This window comes from Homo sapiens, chromosome 10 (assembly GCF_000001405.40).
Source record: "Homo sapiens chromosome 10, GRCh38.p14 Primary Assembly".
NCBI classification, from domain to species: Eukaryota; Metazoa; Chordata; class Mammalia; order Primates; family Hominidae; genus Homo; species Homo sapiens.
Genome location: NC_000010.11, coordinates 12,542,769 through 12,562,761, shown reverse-complemented (window position 1 = coordinate 12,562,761; position 19,993 = coordinate 12,542,769). Strand labels below are relative to the sequence as shown.

Sequence of the window (19,993 nt, the reverse complement as noted above, 5' to 3'; positions counted from 1 at the left end):
CAGTCAGGAATGATAGAAGCAAACCTTGGTGCCGTGGAATCTCAGAGGGAAGGGCCCATCCAGACAGGAAATCAAGAGGTGTCCTGAAGGAGGTGTGTGTCAAACTGCAGCAGGAAAGATGCAATTATCTGTTCCTTTCAGGAGAACTAAACTGAAACATGGGGTGAGGGGTGGGAAGATGAAAACCAAAGAGGTAGATCACAAAGTCGGGGGCTCGTTTGCAAATGAGTTTGGATTCTATTAAGCAGGGGACTTTTTGGAATTAAGGTAGTGAGGGTGACTATCAGACAGGCATTTAAATACTCATTTGCACAGTGCTGTGGGAGAAGGAACTAAAGAAAGGGAAACTGCCATGCTTTGAGCGTGTCCTCCAACAGTTCATGTGTTGGAAACGTAAATCCTCAATGCAGCAGTGCTAGGAATTGTTTCAGTCATGAGGGATCTGCCATCATGTAGGGATGGATGCAGTTCTCATGGGACTAGGTTAGCTCTAACAAGAGCAGGTTGTTTTAAGGGGGGGTGGTCTCTTCACCTCCCCTTTCTTTGCACACACTCACTTGCCCTTCTGCTTTTCTGCCATATGCCATAAAGCAGCACAAAATCCTCACCAGAGGCAGCCACCCGATCTTGGACTTCCCAGCCTGCAGAATGTGAGCTAAAGAACCCTGTTTCCTTTGTAAATTACCTAGGATCAAAGTATTATGCTATAGCAACAGAAAATGGAATAAGACACTAACATCCACAAGAACCACACCAGGTGCACTATTTGGGAAGCAGAAACCCTAGGCAGGAAGAGGCCCCAGAGATACATGGACCCTGGAGAGATAAACCAACATGCCTACTCAAGATAGTTTCAATTCCTTGTTTTGTAGTATGGGATATAACCAACTGTATTTTCCTTCAATTCAGGGAGTGCTATAAGCAATGTCCAAGAAATTAACAGAAATGCATTGATTCTGGATCTCAAACCAAATTTAAAATGTTTTTGATTTTTGCAAGGGACAAAACACCATGAGAAAGCCACTAGAAGCACCAAATATATTCTCTCTTGTCTAGAAAGTTGCACTGGCATTAGACCACTTCTATTTCCTCTTACAGACATGCACAGTTAGGATGAAATAAACAACGATCACCAAATAATGGTCAGAAACAAAGCTGAGTTTACTGCCAACCAGGCAGGGGAAGTCTCCGGACTTAGGGGAAAGTTCAGCACAGCTCCCAGAATACGAAAGTGTAGGTATGCAGCAAAAAGGAGGAAGGACACTAAATAAGGCGGGACTCTGAACTGCTAAGGAAGGGCCATCATTATGGAAGACCTGTCAATGTCAACTCTTCTCGGTGATTAAAGGCTTCGCAGAGCCCGGTTTTCACAGGTCCAGGGTGTATTGTGTTAAGATTCCAGAAAGCCTAAGCTCATTCAGCAGACAGGCTCACATGTACGTGCCCAAAGCTTGGCAAGTTTTCGGCTTTAACCACGCACACCACCGCCACCACCATCACTAAATAACTTACTGCATCCCTCAAAGCCTGTTTTATGGGGATTGCATGGTTTTATTTGAAATCACGCCTGTAATCCCAGCACTTTGGGAGGCCAAGGCAGGCAGATCACAAGGTCAGGAGATCGAGACCAATCTGGCTAACACGGTGAAACCCTGTCTCTATTAAAAAAAATACAAAACAATTAGCCAGGCATGGTGGCAGGCGCCTGTAGTCCCAGCTACTCGGGAGGCTGAGGCAGGAGAATGGCGTGAAGCTGGGAGGCGGAGCTTGCAGTGAGCCGAGATCGCACTGCTGCACTCCAGCCTGGGTGACAGAGCGAGACTCCATCTCAAAAAAAAAAAGAAAGAAAGAAAGAAATCAAGGTAACTTTCAATATGGTTTCCCAAGGTATCCAAGTGTCTAGAATTGTAAGATATGCACCTGCCTCCCTATGTGTCATCATAAGTAAGGCTTTCAACCGTTACTTTTCACATTTCCTGCTTGTGTTCTCCATTCCAGTGCGAGCTTTCCAGAGAGGAGCTCTCTCTCTTTTAGACCCTTCTAAGCAGCTCAGATTGATCCTTAAAAAGCTGTATTGGTGCCTGAGAAATTCAAGGACTAGCTTTACCAGCTTAGCCATTTTCAGTCATTGGCAAAGTGGTTATCTTCAGCCCCAATCAATGAATTTCTTTTTTTCTTTCTTCTTCTTCTTTTTTTTTTTTTTTTTCCGAGATAGAGTTTTCCTCTCGTTGCCCAGGCTGAAGTGCAGTGGTGCGATCCTGGCTCCCTGCAACTTCCACCTCCTGGGTTCAAGCAATTCTCCTGTCTCAGGCTCCCGAGTAGCTGAGATTACAGGCGCCCACCACCATGCCCGACTAATTTTTGTATTTTTGGTAGAGACGGGGTTTCACCACGTTGGCCAGGCTGGTCTCTAACTCCTGACCTCAGGTGATCCGCCCGCCTCGCCTTCCCAAAGTGCTGTGATTACAGGCGTGAGCCACCGCGCCCGGACCCCAATCGATGAATTTCTATTGAAGTGTCAGTTTCTCTAACAGGCACAAAGACTGGCACTTGGCAGTGGTTTAAACAAGTGAACAGGGCCAGCCTCCCTTCAGAACAAAGCCGCAGGAGCAGGGGCAGGCTAGATTTCCAGAGTTCATCGACGTCAAAGCCTTTCTCTGGGGGCTGTTCCCTAATCCCAAAGCAGTTGCTTTCTTTGGCTGCAGAAGCTGCCCTCCCTCTGGTCCGCATTGAGAGGAAGGTGTCTGCCTTAAGGTAACTGGAGGATAAGGCTCCGCCCTTCCCATGACAGAGGTGCTAACTCACTCTCCCACCACACATCCTGCCATCCATCCTGACTTCGGCCCCAGGGATTTCAGGGACTCCAGCCCAGCATCCTGGGCTTTGGCACCTGCTGCCTTTAGCAGTCCTCACCCTCTTGTGAAGTACTTGGCACTGCAGCGTGCTGACTCGACCACACCCTACCCCAGCCTCCCCAGGCCTGGCACTGCCACTACTGCCCGTACTTCTTCAGCCACCCTTGAGAAGCGAGGTTCTCACTCCTGAGCCCAGTCAGTGGCTGGTGCCTGCTCCTCAATGATGGGATGATGGACTCAAGTCAATTCACCACTCTCAAAACAAAACTCAGCTCTTCCAAGGGAGCACATCTGAGTTCGCTCCTCTCAATGAAGCCTCTCCTGAAGGAAACATTGCCTGGCTTGTGTTTCTGCCTGCGGACACATCTGTACACATCTGCCCACACTCCTAGTCATCATACGGAGCAGCTCCACCCTGGGAGGTGAAATCAGCGGACAAGGGCTGGAGAGTGGTTGTTCTGACATCACACTGATTATGAGTTAGGATCAGTGGGTGGCGGGTGGGGGAGATGCTTTTTCAATTTTCCAGCACCTGCCATTACCTCCAATTCTGACTCGATTGGTCGTGAATGGGGCCTGCGCATCAGCATAATATTTTTGTTTTTTCCTTTTATTTATTTTTTTAGAGATGGTGTCTCAGTCTGTCACCCAAACTGGAGTACAGCCTCAAACTCCTCGGCTCAAGCAATCCTCCCACCTCAGCCTCCAGAGTAGATGGGACTACTGGCAACCACCACACCTGACTAGTTTTTTAATTGTTTTATAGAGACAGAGTCTCACTATGATGCCCAGGCTGGTCTTGAACTCCCAGCCTCAGACAATCCTCCTGCCTCAGCCTCCCAAAGTGCTGCAATTACAAGCATAAGCCACTCACCGTGCCCGGCTAATCAGTATGATTTTAAGAGCTTCCTAGGTGATTTTAAGGTGCAGCCAGGGCTGAGAAACACTGATTTGGAGAGAAAGAGGCAGAGACCATCATCTGAGACTCCTCAGTGTACCCAGATAGACGAAAACATGCCAATTCAAATCAGTTCCTGCCAGGGTCACTTCCCCAAGGCAAGACAATCTCTGCAGCTTACAAAGCAGGCATCAGAACAGCATGTTGAATTCTGGTGCCATGTTTCATTCAGACAGTACCCCTTCCACCAAACTGAGCCTCAGTTTTTCCAACTATTAGTAAATGGGCTGCTCCAGACACAGCTGGTTTGCTTCTCTCAGCCCCCACTTTCCAATCTATGCATCCCCCTCTCTCTTCACCTCTCATTTAAATGTAGACTGTTGATATATTTGCCTTTCTACTCCTGCAAAAGTACTTTAAGTGCTACCTTGAAATTATTGTATTTTTTTTTTTTGAGATGGAGTTTTGCTCTTGTTACCCAGGTTGGAGTGCAACGGCACGATCTCGGTTCACTGTAACCTCCACCTCCTGGGTTCAAACAATTCTCCTGCCTCAGCCTCCCAAGTAGCTGTGATTATAGGTATGCGCCACAACGCTCAGCTAATTTTTGTAGTTTGAATAGAGATGGGGTTTCACCACCTTGGCCAGGATGGTCTCAAGCTCTTGACCTCAAGCAACCCACCCACAGCAGCCTCCCAAAGTGCTGGCTTACAGGTGTGAGCCACCGTGCCGGTCAAGTTTTGAAATTAGATGTCAGCAGTGCCTGCCCTCGAAATAAATAATGCCACAGAAATCATAAACTCTGTAATCCAACCCAAAGAGAATAACACCGATGATGTTTATTCCATACCGCATAAAATACTCTGTTGTGGGATCACAACTAACTGTTCTATCTAGAGTAGCTTATGCTGAATTTTCTAGATCCAGCCGCTGATGCCAGAGCAAGGCTGCCGGTCCTCACAGCTGCAGAGCAACAGCCTACCTCCATGTTTATCAGAATGTTTCCCTCTGAGCTTCATTTAATATCTACTGATCAAGTAGAAAATTCATTTTGAAACAATTTCCAGAGCAAGTACAAAGACATCCTTAAGGACATGTTAGCTACATCACTTCAGTCCAGTGAAATAAATAAATTTCTCAGCCTACAATAAACTCAGCATAAAGGGGGGCAGGCAGTCTTTCCAATGGGCCGGCTTAGCAGTCCCCTGGTGGTCCAGCAGCTGGGATTCAAATGGGCCTACTTCCATGGAAAATAGCGTGGAAATAAACCAATGGCCAGGAAACAAACACAAATAGCGTGGAAATCAACAAACAGTCAGGAAATAAGCAAAAATAGTGTGGAAATCAACAAAGACGTTGGAATTTAAGGCAGTCTATTTGGGATCCTGTCTACAATGACTTAGTCATGAAAATCATCAAAAGACTTTTTTCTTTTTTCTTTTTTTTTTTTTTTTTTTGAGATGGAGTCTCGCTCTGTCGCCCAGGCTGGAGTGCAGTGGCGCGATCTGGGCTCACTTCAAGCTCTGCCTCCCGGGTTCACACCATTCTCCTGCCTCAGTCTCCCGAGTAGCTGGGACTACAGGCGCCCACCACCATACCCGGCCAATTTTTTTGTGTATTTTTAGTAGAGACGGGGTTTCACCGTATTAGCCAGGATTGTCTCGATCTCCTGACCTCGTGATCCACCTGCCTCAGCCTCCCAAAGTGCTGGGATTACAGGCGTGAGCCGTGGCACCCGGCCAGGACTTTTTTCTTACATGCTGTGTCTGAAAAACTTTACCAATCAGCAAGTCCAGATCACAATCTGAGTTCCAGAACTGGACAGTCAACTGGACCTCTCTACCAGGGCATCCTCCCAACCCCCAAGTTCAGCATGTCCAGACTCTTGACCTGCCCTCCCGCTCTGGTATTTCTGTTCTCAGTGAATGGGGTCATCATCCACCCAGGCATCCATGTCAGAAACTCGGCAGCCCTCCTGGAATCCTCCGTCTCCCTCCCTGCTCTCCCCATTCCTTCCGAATCTCTAAGTCCTACAGATTCCACTGTGTTCACACACTCATAACTGTTTCTTCCATCCCAACTCCAGAGCTTCTGTGTTAATGTGCTGCTTCTTCATTTCTCCACCAGATTCTTCCAACAGCCTCCTCACTATTCTCCCTACATACATAGAGTCCTGGCCCCCCAGTCCATTCTTCTCAGTTCTGCCGCAACAATCTTCAAAAATTAATCTTGATCATGTTGCTCCTTTCATCAAAACCCTCCGATGGCTCCCCCGTGTCTAGAGGATGAAGTTCAAAGTGGGTACACAAGGCCCTCCACAATCCCACCTCTCCAACCTTAGGTGTCTCCAGGCCTCCCCCTGAACCCTTTGCCCTGGAGAGTTCCCCAGCACACCAGCCTTTCTGTCTCCTATCTCCTGACCTCTGTTTGGGCTGCCACTTCTGGATGGAATGTCCCTCTGCGTTTCTGACCCTGCAAACTATGCTCATTGTCCAGGCCCTCCTCCTCCATGAATCCTCTCCTCCCATCCCACCCCAAAGGAAGAAGACAGCACCCCCTACCCTTGAGGCCCTGGCCATGCTACTACACAGCATCTGCAATGCCACTGCACGTACTTAGTGACAAAACTGTGAGCTCCCAGAGGGCAAGGAGAGCACCTTATCTAAACTCAGTGCCCAGCAGTGCGGCCTGCTGCACAGTGAGAATTTAATAAATATTTGTTAAATGAATGAATGTCTCCATGACAACATTCTGAGTGGTTTCAAACTATTTTCTTTCTAGCTCATTGACTTTGCTTTCAGCTGCTCATGATGTGGAACTGCCTCTTACTCCATATGTAAATCATTTGCAGAGGACCAAAAAAAAAAGTCAGTGCGGGAGTTACTATAGATCACCTTCGCATCCCTGGAGAAATCACTTCTTTGTTCTTGACTCCTGAAAGAGGGGTCACGCTTCCAGGTACTCCAGCAGCGGATACTGAACAACTATCAAAACAAGTTATTCCAGCCCTCTGGCCCTCCTTGGTTTTTAAATGCCCTCTCCCTGGAAGTGATTATTTGAGTGAGGCGCAGGGTGAAGACAATTAAAGCAGACCATCCACGGCATCAACAGGACTGGTTTATAAAGCCTGCATCCATGGCCTCTGCTCATGCAAATGAAAAATAATGCTAAAAAATGAAACTGACTTCCTCCCCTTTTGTACTTCTCAGCCCTAAGGGAATCACACCAAAATACAGTCATCACCCTCGATCCATCAACAGACAGCCCCTGTGCCCAACGTAAAACCTTTGGAAGGCTCTGGGCCCACCCAGAATTCAATCTACAATGTCAAATATCTGTAATGTGTCTGCAACTTAATGTCACCAGCAAATAACTTCTTCTCCAAGTACTGATTTCACATTGGAAAATGAGCAATTTAAATAAATGTCTCATTAACATCGTGTTTTCCTGCTAGATGCTAATATACTTAATTTGTTTTCCCAGATTCTCTTCCATACAATCATTTCCTGCAATCCTCCTCAGGACAACCTGAAACTCACTGGGTTCCTAATAGACAATCCAGAGAACCTAGAAACGACCAAACTACCAAACAAATAAGCAAAACCCTTAAGCTACAAAGTTAAAGAGACCTGTTTGTTCTCAAACACTTATCCCGCATGCTGTAGCTTCTTCTGTGAGTTACACAAAGGTCAGAAGAGGACAGACTGTCCTGGCCCTCTCAGCAGTGCTGGGTTTGTGCAAATGATGGCTGAACATCGTTGGGTGGACACTGCTGGTCCCAGTAAGAGAGGAGTGGGCGAGACGGTTTATTCAGAAAGAATGTGAGGAGCGTGACATTTTGTGTTGAGGCCCTAGAAGGCTTGTTCTCATTCTGCTTTGCTTATCTGTACAGAGATTCTTGCTATGTGCTGATTCCAAACCCCAAAAATTTCAAGGATATTTCCAACATCTTTTATTAATAGCAACTCTTAAAAATTTCCATAGCACACTGCTCAGACACACTCCAAACATGCAAAATCAGGTACCATACAAGGGCTTGTTCCCCCAAACCTTTGGAGATGACGGGGCAATGGCTTAATCATGACAGTGTGGGGAACGGTGTGGACACCACACTTATGAAAGAACATCGCTGGGATGGATCCAGACACATCAGAATGGTTCTGGGAGCCAGGCGCCATGGCTCATGCCTATAATCCCAGCAATCTGGGAGGCTGCGGTAGGAGGACTGCTTGAGGCCAGGAGTTCAAGACCAGCCTGGGCAACACAGTGAGCCCTCCATCTCTTAAAAAAAAAATTTTTTTTTAATTAGCCAGGCATAATAGCGTGTGCCTACAGTCCTAGCTACTCAGGAGCCAGAGGTGGGAAGATCACTTGAGCTCAAGAGTTGAGGCTGCGGTGAGACAAGACTGCCACTGCACTCCAGACTGGGCAACAGAGCAAGATCCTGCCTGGAGAAAAAAAGAAAAAATGAATGGTTCTATGTGTGCCATTATACAAGAGAGGACTTTCTTATATTTTTGCTCCCCATGTGTAATAGAAATAAATGAAAATCTTGGCCAGGCGCAGTGGCTCATGCCTGTAAACTCAGCACTTTGGGAGGCCAAGGCGGGCGGATCACCTGAGGTCAGGAGTTCAAGACCAGCCTGGCCAACATGGAGAAACCTCATCTCTACAAAAATACAAAAATTAGCTGGGCATGATGGCAGATGCCTGTAATCCCAGCTTCGGGAGGCTGAGGCGGGAGAATCGCTTGAAGCCAGGAGGTGGAAGTTGCAGTGAGCTGAGATTGCGCCATTGTACTCCAGCCTGGGCAACAGAGCGAGATTCTGTCAGGAAAGGAAAGGAGAGGAGAGGGGAGGGGAGCAAAGGGGAGGGGAGTGGGGAGGGAAAGAAAGGAAATAAAAAAAAGAAAGAAAAATCTATTTTATTTCTATTACACACAGTGAGCAAAAATAAAACTCAATGAGGAGGTAAGCACTGAAACAGTGAACTCCACGCAGCCTGCTGGGTGCCAGGCGCCATGTCTGTGGCAGAGAATGGGAGAAACCATCGGAACGTGTGGAAGTAACACTGGCCGGGTTGGTATTCCAGGCTCTGCCACATAGGAGCTGCAAGGCTTTGGACACGTGACTCTATTTTGTGAGCTTCATCACCTTATTATAAATAAAGCAGTAATAACAGCAACAGTACTCACAGCGGTGGCGACAGCACAGACCTTTACTGAGCACTTCCTATGTGGCGAGTGCTGCAGTGAGCACTTCACAAAAACTTAGTAAGCAGCATCTCACCAAATCTTTACAACACCCTGCCAGGGAGACGCCGGTAACTCCATTTTACAGAGAAGACTCAGGGCTCTGTAGCCGGCCCACGGTCACTCGGATATGGTGAGTGGCAGGGTCTCGGTTCACAAGCAAGTCTGCCTGACAGCTGTGCTCTTTGTAATTGAGAACTACTCCCAACCATGGCCGTGAATGTTCTAAGACACGAGAGGTCTATGGGAAAAGTGCTTTGAAAGTTGGTTATCGTTTGCACAGCCTGGGTCCTCTGGGGGCCCCTCTGCCCCCGGGGAAAGTCTGCCTCCGGGGCAGGACTCCTGCAGGACACACGGGCCAGGAGGTAGGGAAGGGAGGAGGGTTGCCCTCCAGCACTTACTTTCTCAGGACGGCTATCTCATTCTCTATGCTGCTTTCCTTGCCCTTCAGCGCCTTCTTAGGGATACACTTCACAGCAAAGAGCTTGCCAGTTGCCTTCTCTTCAGCTAAAACCACTTCGGAAAAGGCCCCGCTGTGAACAAAGAAGGAAAAAAGAACACTTAGATGCAGAAGTCCAGTTTCACAATGGCTCCATTCACCCTACCACCGAAGTTTGAGTAAACAATAACGACGGCACAGTTGTAAGCATTACTGTTACTTTTATCCACCGTGGCTCCTTGCTAAACATCTTTGTGCAAAGAAATACACAGGGGCAGCCCGGCGCAGTGGCTCATGCCTGTAATCCCGACACTTTGGGAGGCCAAGGCGGGCAGACCACCTGAGGTCAGGAGTTTAAGACCAGCCTGGCCAACATGATGAAACCCCGTCTCTACTAAAAATACAAAAAATTAGCCAGAGGTGGTGGCACGCACCTGTAATTCCAGCTACTTGGGAGGCTGAGGCAGGAGAATCGCTTGAGCTTGGAAGGCAGAGGTTGCAGTGAGCCGAGATCGTGTCGCTGCACTCCAGCCTGGGCGACAGAGCAAGACTCTGTCTCAAAAAATAATGATAATAAAAGTTTTTCAAAAAGGAAATACACAGGGGCAAGCAGGCCTTCCTGCAAAGGGACATGCGGATGTGGAGGTCAACACAGTTAGGCCACCTCCCGGTACCACTTGCCACACAACACAGTGGCGTCACTTTGGAGCCAACAAGAACGCTCCCACAAGAGGTTCCTCCTACAGAAAAGGACTGGATCCTTCTGCCGGTGTCAGCTCTCCCACCTCCAAACAGACTAGAAAGTCACACTAAAATCCCCAGGTCCTCACAGGCTTTTTCATCTAGAGGAAATTTCAGAGCGCTCTGCAAACACTGGACTCTTCCCAGCTGGGTAAGGATAGGACTGGGTGTGAGCGGTATTGCAGGTGGTACAGACACAGGGTAATTAATTGGTCATGGGGTGCAAGTGCTCACCGAGCAGCTTGTATCCTTTTTAAACCAAAGAAACTAACAAGCAAGGGCTATGGAGTGGGGAAGACTGTCCTGCCTGAAAATACACATTTCACTCTGCAACGGCAGAGCAACAAACTAAAACCAGAACATCTGGGGCTGGAGAGCCCACTTCTCTGGAGGGGCCCCTTATGATCTGGGAGCCCCAGAGCCAGCACCCCAGGGCCACCTCCTTTGCTGACGGTAGGCAAGGCCTGCGTGCAGAACTCCACTAATAACCCTGGCATGGAACAGCCTCCTCCATCATCTCCGGATCCTCCAGATCCCAGCAACTTGGGCTCTGTGCACAGGGAAGTACCACAGCCCACTGAGTCGTTCTCTGTGCCAAGACTTTCAACTCCTGCTTCAAGAAACCAACGTTCCCGTGTCCAGAGAAACCACTGGAAGCCCCAGTGTTATGGCAATACCAGGTCTTCAGGCCCTACCTTCTTCAGTCCAATGGTCCCCAACCTTTTTGGCATCAGGGACCAGCTTCATGGACAACAGTTTTTCCATGGACCCGGGAGAGGAGGGTGGTTTTGGGATGACTCAAGTGCATTACATTTCTTGTGCACTTTATTTCATTTTTTTGAGACGGAGTCTGGCTCTGTTGCCCAGGCTGGAGTGCACTGGTGTGATCTCGGCTCACTGCAACCTCTGCCTCTCAGGTTCAAGCGATTCTCCTGACTCAGCTTCCTGAGGAGCTGGGATTACAGGTGTCCACCAACACATCTGGCTAATTTTTGTATTTTCACCATGTTTCCCAGGCTGGTCTCGAAGTCCTGACCTCAAGTGATTCACTCGCCTCGACCTCCCAAAGTGCTGGGATTATAGGTGTGAACCACCACGCCCAGCCACTTTATTTCTATTATTATTACACAGTAATGTATAATGAAATAATTCTACAACTTGCCATAACGTAGAAATCAGTGGAAGCCCTGAGCTTGTTTTCCTGCAACTAGTCGGTCCCATCTGGGGGTGATGGGACACAGTGACAGATCATCAGGCATTAGATTCTCATAAAGAGTGTGCAACCTAGATCCCTCGCGTGCACAGTTCACAATAGGGCTCACGCTCCTATGAGAATCTAATGCAGTCCTTGATCTGACAGGAGGCAGAGCTCAGGCGGTAACGTGAACAATGGGGAGTGGCTGTAAGTACAGATGAAGCTTTGCTTGCTTGCCCGCTGTTCACCTCTTGCTGTGTGGCAAAGTTCCTAACAGGCCACATACCCTACCGGTATTGGCCCATGGCCCAGGGGTTGGGGACCCCTACTTTAGTCACTGTCAAAGAGATTCCTGAACAGGGGGAACACCCTTCCTCCTCCTCTCCTTGCCCACCTGACAGCAATGCACACTCTGTCACAATCCAAGGGACGCTAAATGCATGTTTTAAAAATCCTTTCCAGTGAGAGGAATTCACTTCCACTCAGTGCAATTAACTTCAGGACAGCGTTCCCACTGGCACATGGATGCTCACGAGAGAAGCTTGTCTATAGCTTCATGGTCTATTTTTAATTATACAAGCCCAGGGGGCAGAACATAGTCATTCCACAAAATATCCCAGATGAAAAACATCAGAAGCAGGATCTTCTGCCCAAATCCACAAATTATTCACCCATAGGATTCTCCCCTCAAAACACTACAAGCCAGAAGCCAAACCTTCTAGAACCTGCCAGAACAATCATCACTAAATATAAACACATAAAGACCCACCACAGGTTTATCACAGAGGGATACATGGAGTCAGACATTCCCAGTGACACCGGCCATGGCCAACGGCTTTTGTCCAGGAAACCCAAATCATAACAATTCCAGAGACGGCCCCTGAGCCCACGCACCATCCCTCCTCACTCATCTCTAAGCCAGGGGGAGACAGGTGGCTGCACCTCAGAGTTCTTAGGTGGGTCAAGACCCTGAATGAGGAGGTACGTGTTCCCCCTCACTACCCTCCGGGAGGTAGAACAAGAACTATGTTAGAGTAGGAGAAAAATCACTGGGGAAAGACCAAGGTTCAAGCACCATGGGTGGTTTTATACCAGATAAATCATTCATTCTTTCATTCATTCATTCGTTCATTCAGTTTCCCTGTTGGCCACTTGAGTCCCTAATGCTGATGACACCCCAATGGTCCTGAGTTTGTTGGATTTACTAAGTCCATCTTCCAGAAGGCGGAAAAGCCCTTTGGCAGCAGTGACCACAGCCAAGGGCTCGGGCTGGGAACTGCGATCAGGCCCCTCTCCTCCTGGGCTGCCCCTCGCTCCACTCTCCATCCACAGGTGCTCCTTCCTCTACAGAATCCCTGTGATCAGAAATGACCACGGCCAACGCAGAGGGGACAACCTGCTCAATCGGACCCTTGGAAGCCTGTAAGAGAAAAGCATTTCCTCGCTTGGAGGAAACAGTGAGAAGCGAGGTTGCCGCAGGACTCAGCCCGAGAGACAATAGACTGGGGAGGGGAGCGAGGGGTCTCCTCAGAGCCAGCACTGCCACGGCAGGAAGCTGACAACATGGAGAGGCAGTAGTGCCCGTGGAGCTAGGATTTTTCTGCCTTTGTCCCTGGTTAGGTGGGGATGGGCTATGTGGCGCCCCATGGGGAAGGCAGGACAACGGCACGGAGTTATGTCAAGAGAGTCACGTGCTAAACAGCCCAGGCTTGACACAACATGACCAAGGAGTCTCCATCAGAAGATCCTGAGCAGAGTCAGGGAGCCAAGGTTCCAGACCCATTCTCTGCGAATGCAAGTCAGCATGCAACTCCACACCTAGGTCTATACCCAGAAGTGAAAGCAGGGACTGAACAGGTGCGTGGACAACCACATTCACAGAGGCATTATTCACAACAGCCACGTGGTGGCAACAATCCTTGCATCCATTGGGGGACAAATGGATAAAATATGGTCCACACATATAACAGAATAGCCATAAATAGCAATGGAATTCTGACCCATGCTGGAACATGGATGAACTCTGAGGACATTATGCTAAAGGAAATAAATCAGATACAAAAAGCCAAATACCGTATGATTCTACTTACAGGAGGTGTCCAAAGTCATCAAATTCATAGAGAAAGAAAGTAGAACTGTGGTTGCTAGGGACTAGGGGGAGAAGGCAATGGGGAGTTCTGTTTAATGGGGACGGAGTTTCCATTTGGGAAGATGAAAAGGATCTGGAAGCCAGGCACGGTGGCTCATGCCTGTAATCCCAGCACTTTGGGAGGCCAAGGCGGGCAGACCACTTGAGGTCAGGATTTTGAGACCAGCCTGGCCAATATGGTGAAACCCCATCTCTACTAAAAATATAAAAATTAGCAGCGTGTGGTGGCACATGTCTGTAGTCCCAGCTACTCAGCAGGCTGAGGTGGGAGAATCGTTTGAGCCCAGGAGGCGGAGGTTGCAGTGAGCTGAGATCGCGCCTATGCACTCCAACCTTGATGACAGAGCGAGACTCTGTCTCAAAAAAATAAAAAATAAAAAGTTTCTGGAGATGCATGGGGTTGATGGTTGCACAACAATGTGAATGTAGTTGATGCCACCAAACTGTACTCTGTAAAATGGTTAAAATAGGCCGGGCGCGGTGGCTCATGCCTATAATCCCAGCACTTTGGGAGGCTGAGGTGGGAGGATCGCTTGAGCCCAGGAGTTTGATACCAGCCTGGGCAACACAGCAAAATGCTGTCTCTAGAAAAAATTTAAAAATTAGCCAGGTACGGTGGTGTACACCTGTCATACCAGCTACTTGGGAGGCTAAGGTAGGAGGATCACTTGGGCCCGGGAGGTCAAGGCTGCAGTGAGCCATGATCACGGCACTGTACTTCAGCCTGGGCCATAGAGCAAGACCTTGTCCCCTCCTCCCCCAGCAAAAAAAAAAAAAAAAAAAAAAGCTTAAAATGGTAAAGTTTATGTTATGTATATTTCACTGCAATAAAAAGATAAACATAAAAAGTCTGCTTACTTCTAATCAATGATGTTGCCTGAGGATGGACATATTGGAAAAACTAGATAAACCTTTTCACTCAATACCTCCCTAAAGGAGAAAAAAATTATATCAACTGTAGGGTGCCAGCTGGTGTCAGTGACTTGATATTTACAAAGGACTTTGGCATGTATCAGTGAATCCACTCCTTACAGCGACCCCATGAAGCAGACAAGAAGTTACTGTCATCTCCATTTTAGAGATGAGGATACTGAGTCCCATCACACAAGTGGTAAAGGACAGAAAATAGAACTCGGTTTCCTACTGCCTCCGAGGCCCTTTCTCAATGTGTCACGCTGGGCTGATACAGGTGGCTACCAGGGCGTGTGCGTGGCAAGCACCGCAGGTGACAGGGATGGAGGGGTTAGAAGACCCTGTCGTCAGATGAGCTGCCATCGCTCCGAGCCCGCACATCCAGCTGCTTTATCATTTAGCCAAACAATGTGCATTGACCCGCTTTAAGCTTTCCAAAGACAAAGTTCTCTGGTCTTCTTAAAGGATATAAGATGACCATAAATTGTTATTGTTCCCACAATAAATAGAAATCACTTGAAGACACTTCCCCTGTTCCAGGAAATTTAATTAGAAACATCAAACACAAAGCTCACGAATGAACAGTTTGAGCACTTTCTATGTAATTACATAACACAGTGGTGTGTGTGTGTGTGTGTGAGAGAGAGAAAGAGAGAGAGAGAGTGCAGGGTTGGGGGGGGGGTGTCCTCGTGACAGGAAACACTAAAGCAAGGAAAATGATCTGAAAACCTATAAAGACTTCCCCCAACCCAAGAACATACATTCCAAGGGACAAAAGAACAAAAGCAGGGACAGAGTGACAAAGTTTTAAAAATACAAAGAGGTCAAATCAGGTTGCACTCTATAGGCTGTAAAACACAAGCACTGTGCATTTAAAGCTGAACGATGGAGCACTCCAGCCAGACTGAATCATATTGGCAACCTGAAACTGTCGTCTGGGCACAGCTTGCACTGGCCTGGAGCCCGTGCCCCACTCTTCTCTCTGCAGTCGACCTTCTTCCTCCACCACCACTAGACTGGACCCTTGTGGGCTGGGCCCCCCAGGGGTCCCCTAGTTGCTAAACCCAATGGCTTCCTCTCACTGCTCATCCTACTGGTTTTTGCCTTGACCTCCTTCCTAAAGTTCTTTGCTTCTTGGTTCTACAGCATCGTTCTCTCCTTCTGCCTTTATGTCCATTTCCGCTCCATCTCCATCTCCTCTTCCTCCCTTCAAACATCAATGGGCCCCCAAGGTTTCATCTGCAACCTTTCCTTCTTTCTAGTCTGTATCCTCTACATGGAAATCTCAGCTGTTTCCACAGTCTGAGCCCCTTCTGGTCCTTTGATGGCCTCCTAACCTTCATCCATATTTTTTTTAATTATTATTATACTTTAAGTTTTACGGTACATGTGCACCACGTGCAGGTTTGTTACATATCTATACATGTGCCATGTTGGTGTGCTGCACCCATTAACTCGTCATTTAGCATTAGGTATATCTCCTAATGCTATCCCTCCCCCACCCCCACCCCACAACAGTCCCCGGTGTGTGATGTTCCCCTTCCTGTGTCCATGTGTTCTCATTGTTCACTTCCCACCTATGAGTGAGAACATGCGGTGTTTGGTTTTCTGTCCTTGCGATAGTTTGCTGAGAATGATGGTTTCCAGCTTCATCCATGTCCCTACAAAGGACATGAACTCATCATTTTTTATGGCTGCATAGTATTCCATGGTGTATATGTGCCACATTTTCTTAATCCAGTCTATCATTGTTGGACATTTGGGCTGGTAACCTTCATCCATATTTTAATCTCTCTCATGTGCAAACCTCACCTTCTCTACCCACAAAGGCCCTTCCCAGACTCTCAAAAGCACCATAACCAAAGTGAAACAGTTATCTTCACCCCAAAACTTCTCTTTTTCATTTAATCAGTAATGTGGTCTAGAAACCTGTCTACTTTACTGCTCTCTGTCTCTGTCATTTCCATCACCAACTACGTTCAGGTTTTCCGCTGACAAGACTCTCAAATGCCCGCCCGCTCCTCCATCCCTTCATCGTGGCTCTGGTTCATGTCCTCCTTCTCTCACTTCTGCAATATATCCACCACTCCTTCCTGGTCCCGTAGCCCCCAGCGAGCCCACTGCTACCTGCTATCTCCTATCTGTTACTGAAATTACTCTTCTGGAAATAAGATTTGATTATGTCATTACCCTACTTAAATCTTTGAGGTTTCATGTCTATGGGATCGAGTTCAAATCCCTTTGCACGTTACCCGTGGCATTCAAAGCCTTTCTAAACCTAACCCCAACTTCGCAGGCTCATCTGTCACTACAGCCACTGTCCCCAGTACAAACACTCCACGCCGTACACATGTCAGCTCAACCCAACCACACCGCTGAACAGCTAGTTTCCAAAACACACAGCGGCCTTTCACGCCACTGGCCTTTGTTCAAGTTCTGCCCACCCCCTCCTTCCCTGAACGTCATTCATTCCTTTTTCTTTCTGCTTGGCAAAATTCCATGTCTTTTTCTTTTTCTTTTTTGAGACGGAGTCTCGCTCTGTCACCCGGGCTGGAGTGCAGTGCTGCCATCGTGGCTCACTGCAACCTCCGACTCCCTGGTTCAAGCGATTCCCCTGCCTCAGCCTCCCAAGTAGCTGGGATTACAGGTGCCCGCCACCACGCCCAGCTAATTTTTGTATTTTTAGTAGAGACGGGGTTTCACCATGTTGGCCAGGATGGTCTCGATCTCCTGACCTCGTGATCCGCCCACCTCAACCTCCCAAAGTGCTAGGATTACAGGTGTGAGCCACTGCGCCCGGCTAATTCCATGTATTTTTCAAAGGCCCAGATGGTATATTTCCTCCTTTTTTTTTTTTTTTTTTTTTTTACTGTGAGATGGAGTCTCGCTCTGTCACCCAGGCTGGAGTGCAGTGGCGTCATCTAGCTCACTGCAACCCCCGCCTCTGGGGTTCAAGCAATTCTCCTGCCTCAGTATCCTGAGTAGCTAAAACTACAGACGCACACCACCATGTCCAGCTAGTTTTTTTGTTTTTTTGTTTTTTTAGTAGAGACTAGTTTTCACCATGTTGACCAGGCTGGTCTCGAACACCTGAGGTTTTTCTCAATTGCTTCTCACCTACGCAGAATGATGCCCTCATTCTGAAAAAAATGTGGCTTAAACGTACATTACCTATCCCATGTACACATCCCATTACAGTCCTTAACATGCTTCCTGTATGAGAACAGGAGTTGCATGCATTCTGTTTCTGTGTCTTCAGACCTAATAATACTTGTACCAACTGGTGCTCAAGACACTTCTGATGATCACCATTATTGGGGGCTCTCCTCTGATTCCCCATCAGGCTCTTCACCCTTCTCCTGTGCTGCAGATCTGCAAAGTAAGTAATGTATCCTAATGACCTTCCGCTCAACACTAGTACCATCCACTCAACACTAGTACCATCCACTCAACACTAGTACTATCCACTCAACACTAGTACTATCCACTTAACACTAGTACTATCCACTCAACACTAGTACTATCCACTCAACACTAGTACTATCCACTCAACACTAGTACCATCCACTCAATACTAGTACTATCCACTCAACACTAGTACTATCCACTCAACACTAGTACTAGAAAACAGTACCATCTCTTTTCTCCTCCGTAATATGTTTCTTTAAGTTTCAATGCAAGCCTGTGCAGAAAGAACCTCAAAGGTTTCTCTTGAGGCATAAAAATTATTTGAGTCCTTCCTGATTTATTTTAAAACATGCACTTATGTGCCTGAATGCTTAAGTAATATTATACAGTTGAATAATCCTGAGATCACTGTTTGTTTTGACTGGAAAAAGTCTTAAATTTGTTAATTTATGATATTTTCTCCCTATAAACCTTCATCCTTGTTGAATAAGTAAAATTTGGTAAAAAGAGACAGCAGATTTTTATACAGATGAAAGGACTTTATAAAATGCATAACTGTGGGAGAAATAAAAATTCCAGTGTTTCAAAAATTGCATTTTTTTCAAGTTGTGACAAGACATTTATTTGAATGATAAAGAAAGCCATTATTCTATTTAAAAAACACCAAATTTCCATCAAAAAGGAATCTCTGTGATAAATTACTGGAAAAGTCAAATAAAAATTTAATCTTGAAATGCTAAATGTTTTCTTCACCTGATGATAGGCTGTACAAATTGCAAAAGTTGAATCCTTCCTCCTTTTCCCCATATTTCAAAGAAAATCAAATCATCACCCACAGGCAGCTCATCCTGATTGTAAGCCAGGTGCCTGCGAGGAAATAATCTTTTGAGAGCTGAATTTCCAAGACTAAAGGAAACCATCCCATTTTCCATAGTGATGAAAGAATTCTAAATGACTACTTAGGCTTTTAACTTCATAAATGATGGCTCTGGAAAATAAAAGCTGTTTTGCTTTGCTTTATCTAGTCAGTTTCAATGGACTGTGGTGTTAGGATGGTTGGCTCTCCATGCTGTTAAATGTATACCCAGTCCTCTCTCAGTCCTCTCCAAGTGAAACGATCTGAGGTCCAAGCGACCAGTGAGTGGCAGGGCAAAGAAAAGAAGTGGGCTGGGCTCTGGGAATGCCTTTTCTTCCTGAGTTCTCTGAAAAAGCAACACAAAAATGCGTGTGCCCTAAGGATGCCTTGGCTAAAAACAGACATTGAAGGGTTTGTGAACTGGTTTTTTATCCTTCTCCTGTGCTTTAGATAGACATGTACCTACCAGTAGTTAAAAAATTATCATAGAGTCATTCTGAGCATCTTAACTCCAGACCTTCAGCTTATGCTGGGCCCAGAACTCAGAGCCAAGCCAAGCCCAGAGATACACTGGCTAACTCCCTCCTCACTACCAATTATTATTATAAAAAATGGAAATGAGAATCTGTTTCTATCCCAGTTTCTCATAATCTTTTCCAGTTTCTAATACCTTTACTATTTAACCTAAAGTTGTTAATAATTGGGCAATGGCCAGGCGTGGTGGCTAACACCTGTAATCCCAGCACTTTGGGAGGCCAAGGCGGTTAGATCACATGAGGTCAGGAGTTTGAGACCAGCCTGGCCACCATGCATAAACCCGTCTCTATAGAAAAAATACAAAAATTAGCCGGGCGTGGTGGTGGGTGCCTATAATCCCGGCAACTCGGGAGGCTGAGACAGGAGAATCACTTGAACCCAGGAAGTGGAGGTTGCAGTGAGCCAAGATCGTGCCACTGCACTCCAGCCTGGGTGACAGAGCAAGACTCCATCTCAAAAAGAAATAATAATAATAGCCAGGAATGGTGGCTCACGCCTGTAATCCCAACACTTTGGGTGGCCGAGGAGTGGGGAATCACCTGAGGTCAGGAGTTCAAGAGCGGTCTGGCCAACATGATGAAACCCCATCTCTACCTAAAATACAAAAATGAGCCGGGCATGGTGGCGCATGCCTGTAATCCCAGCTACTTGGGAGGCTGAGGCAGGAGAATTGCTCAAACCCGGGAGGCGGAGGTTGTTGCAGCGAGCTGAGTTCACACTGCTGCACTCCAGCCTGGGCGACAGAGCGAGAC

The 19,993-nt window shown here is 47.2% G+C and overlaps 1 protein-coding gene across 7 annotated transcripts in view, besides 3 other annotated features; it reads right to left on the bottom strand.

Annotated features, from left to right (window-relative positions):
• The window catches only part of CAMK1D (calcium/calmodulin dependent protein kinase ID), a 485,999-nt gene that overhangs the window by 272,784 nt on the left and 193,222 nt on the right, over positions 1-19,993 (bottom strand). For all 7 annotated transcript variants that reach the window (XM_006717483.5, NM_153498.4, XM_006717482.4 and 4 more), the window contains one exon: positions 9,406-9,537. In XM_006717483.5, coding sequence (XP_006717546.1) covers positions 9,406-9,537 — 132 coding nt within the window. The remainder of the gene's footprint in view (positions 1-9,405; positions 9,538-19,993) is intronic.
• Positions 8,873-9,070: a silencer, noted in NCBI's record as "fragment chr10:12595691-12595888 (GRCh37/hg19 assembly coordinates)". NCBI's record gives its function as "represses an EF-1alpha promoter that drives an FKBP-Casp9 reporter gene in an ReSE screen in HepG2 liver carcinoma cells {active_cell/tissue: HepG2}" and the evidence as "EXISTENCE:reporter gene assay evidence [ECO:0000049][PMID:32094911]".
• Positions 9,309-9,809: an enhancer, noted in NCBI's record as "H3K4me1 hESC enhancer chr10:12594952-12595452 (GRCh37/hg19 assembly coordinates)". NCBI's record gives its function as "activates a minimal SCP1, AML or CMV promoter by ChIP-STARR-seq in naive H9 embryonic stem cells {active_cell/tissue: H9 hESC(naive)}" and the evidence as "EXISTENCE:reporter gene assay evidence [ECO:0000049][PMID:30033119]".
• Positions 13,211-13,280: a silencer, noted in NCBI's record as "silent region_2147". NCBI's record gives its function as "represses an Ori minimal core promoter by ATAC-STARR-seq in GM12878 lymphoblastoid cells {active_cell/tissue: GM12878}" and the evidence as "EXISTENCE:reporter gene assay evidence [ECO:0000049][PMID:35858748]".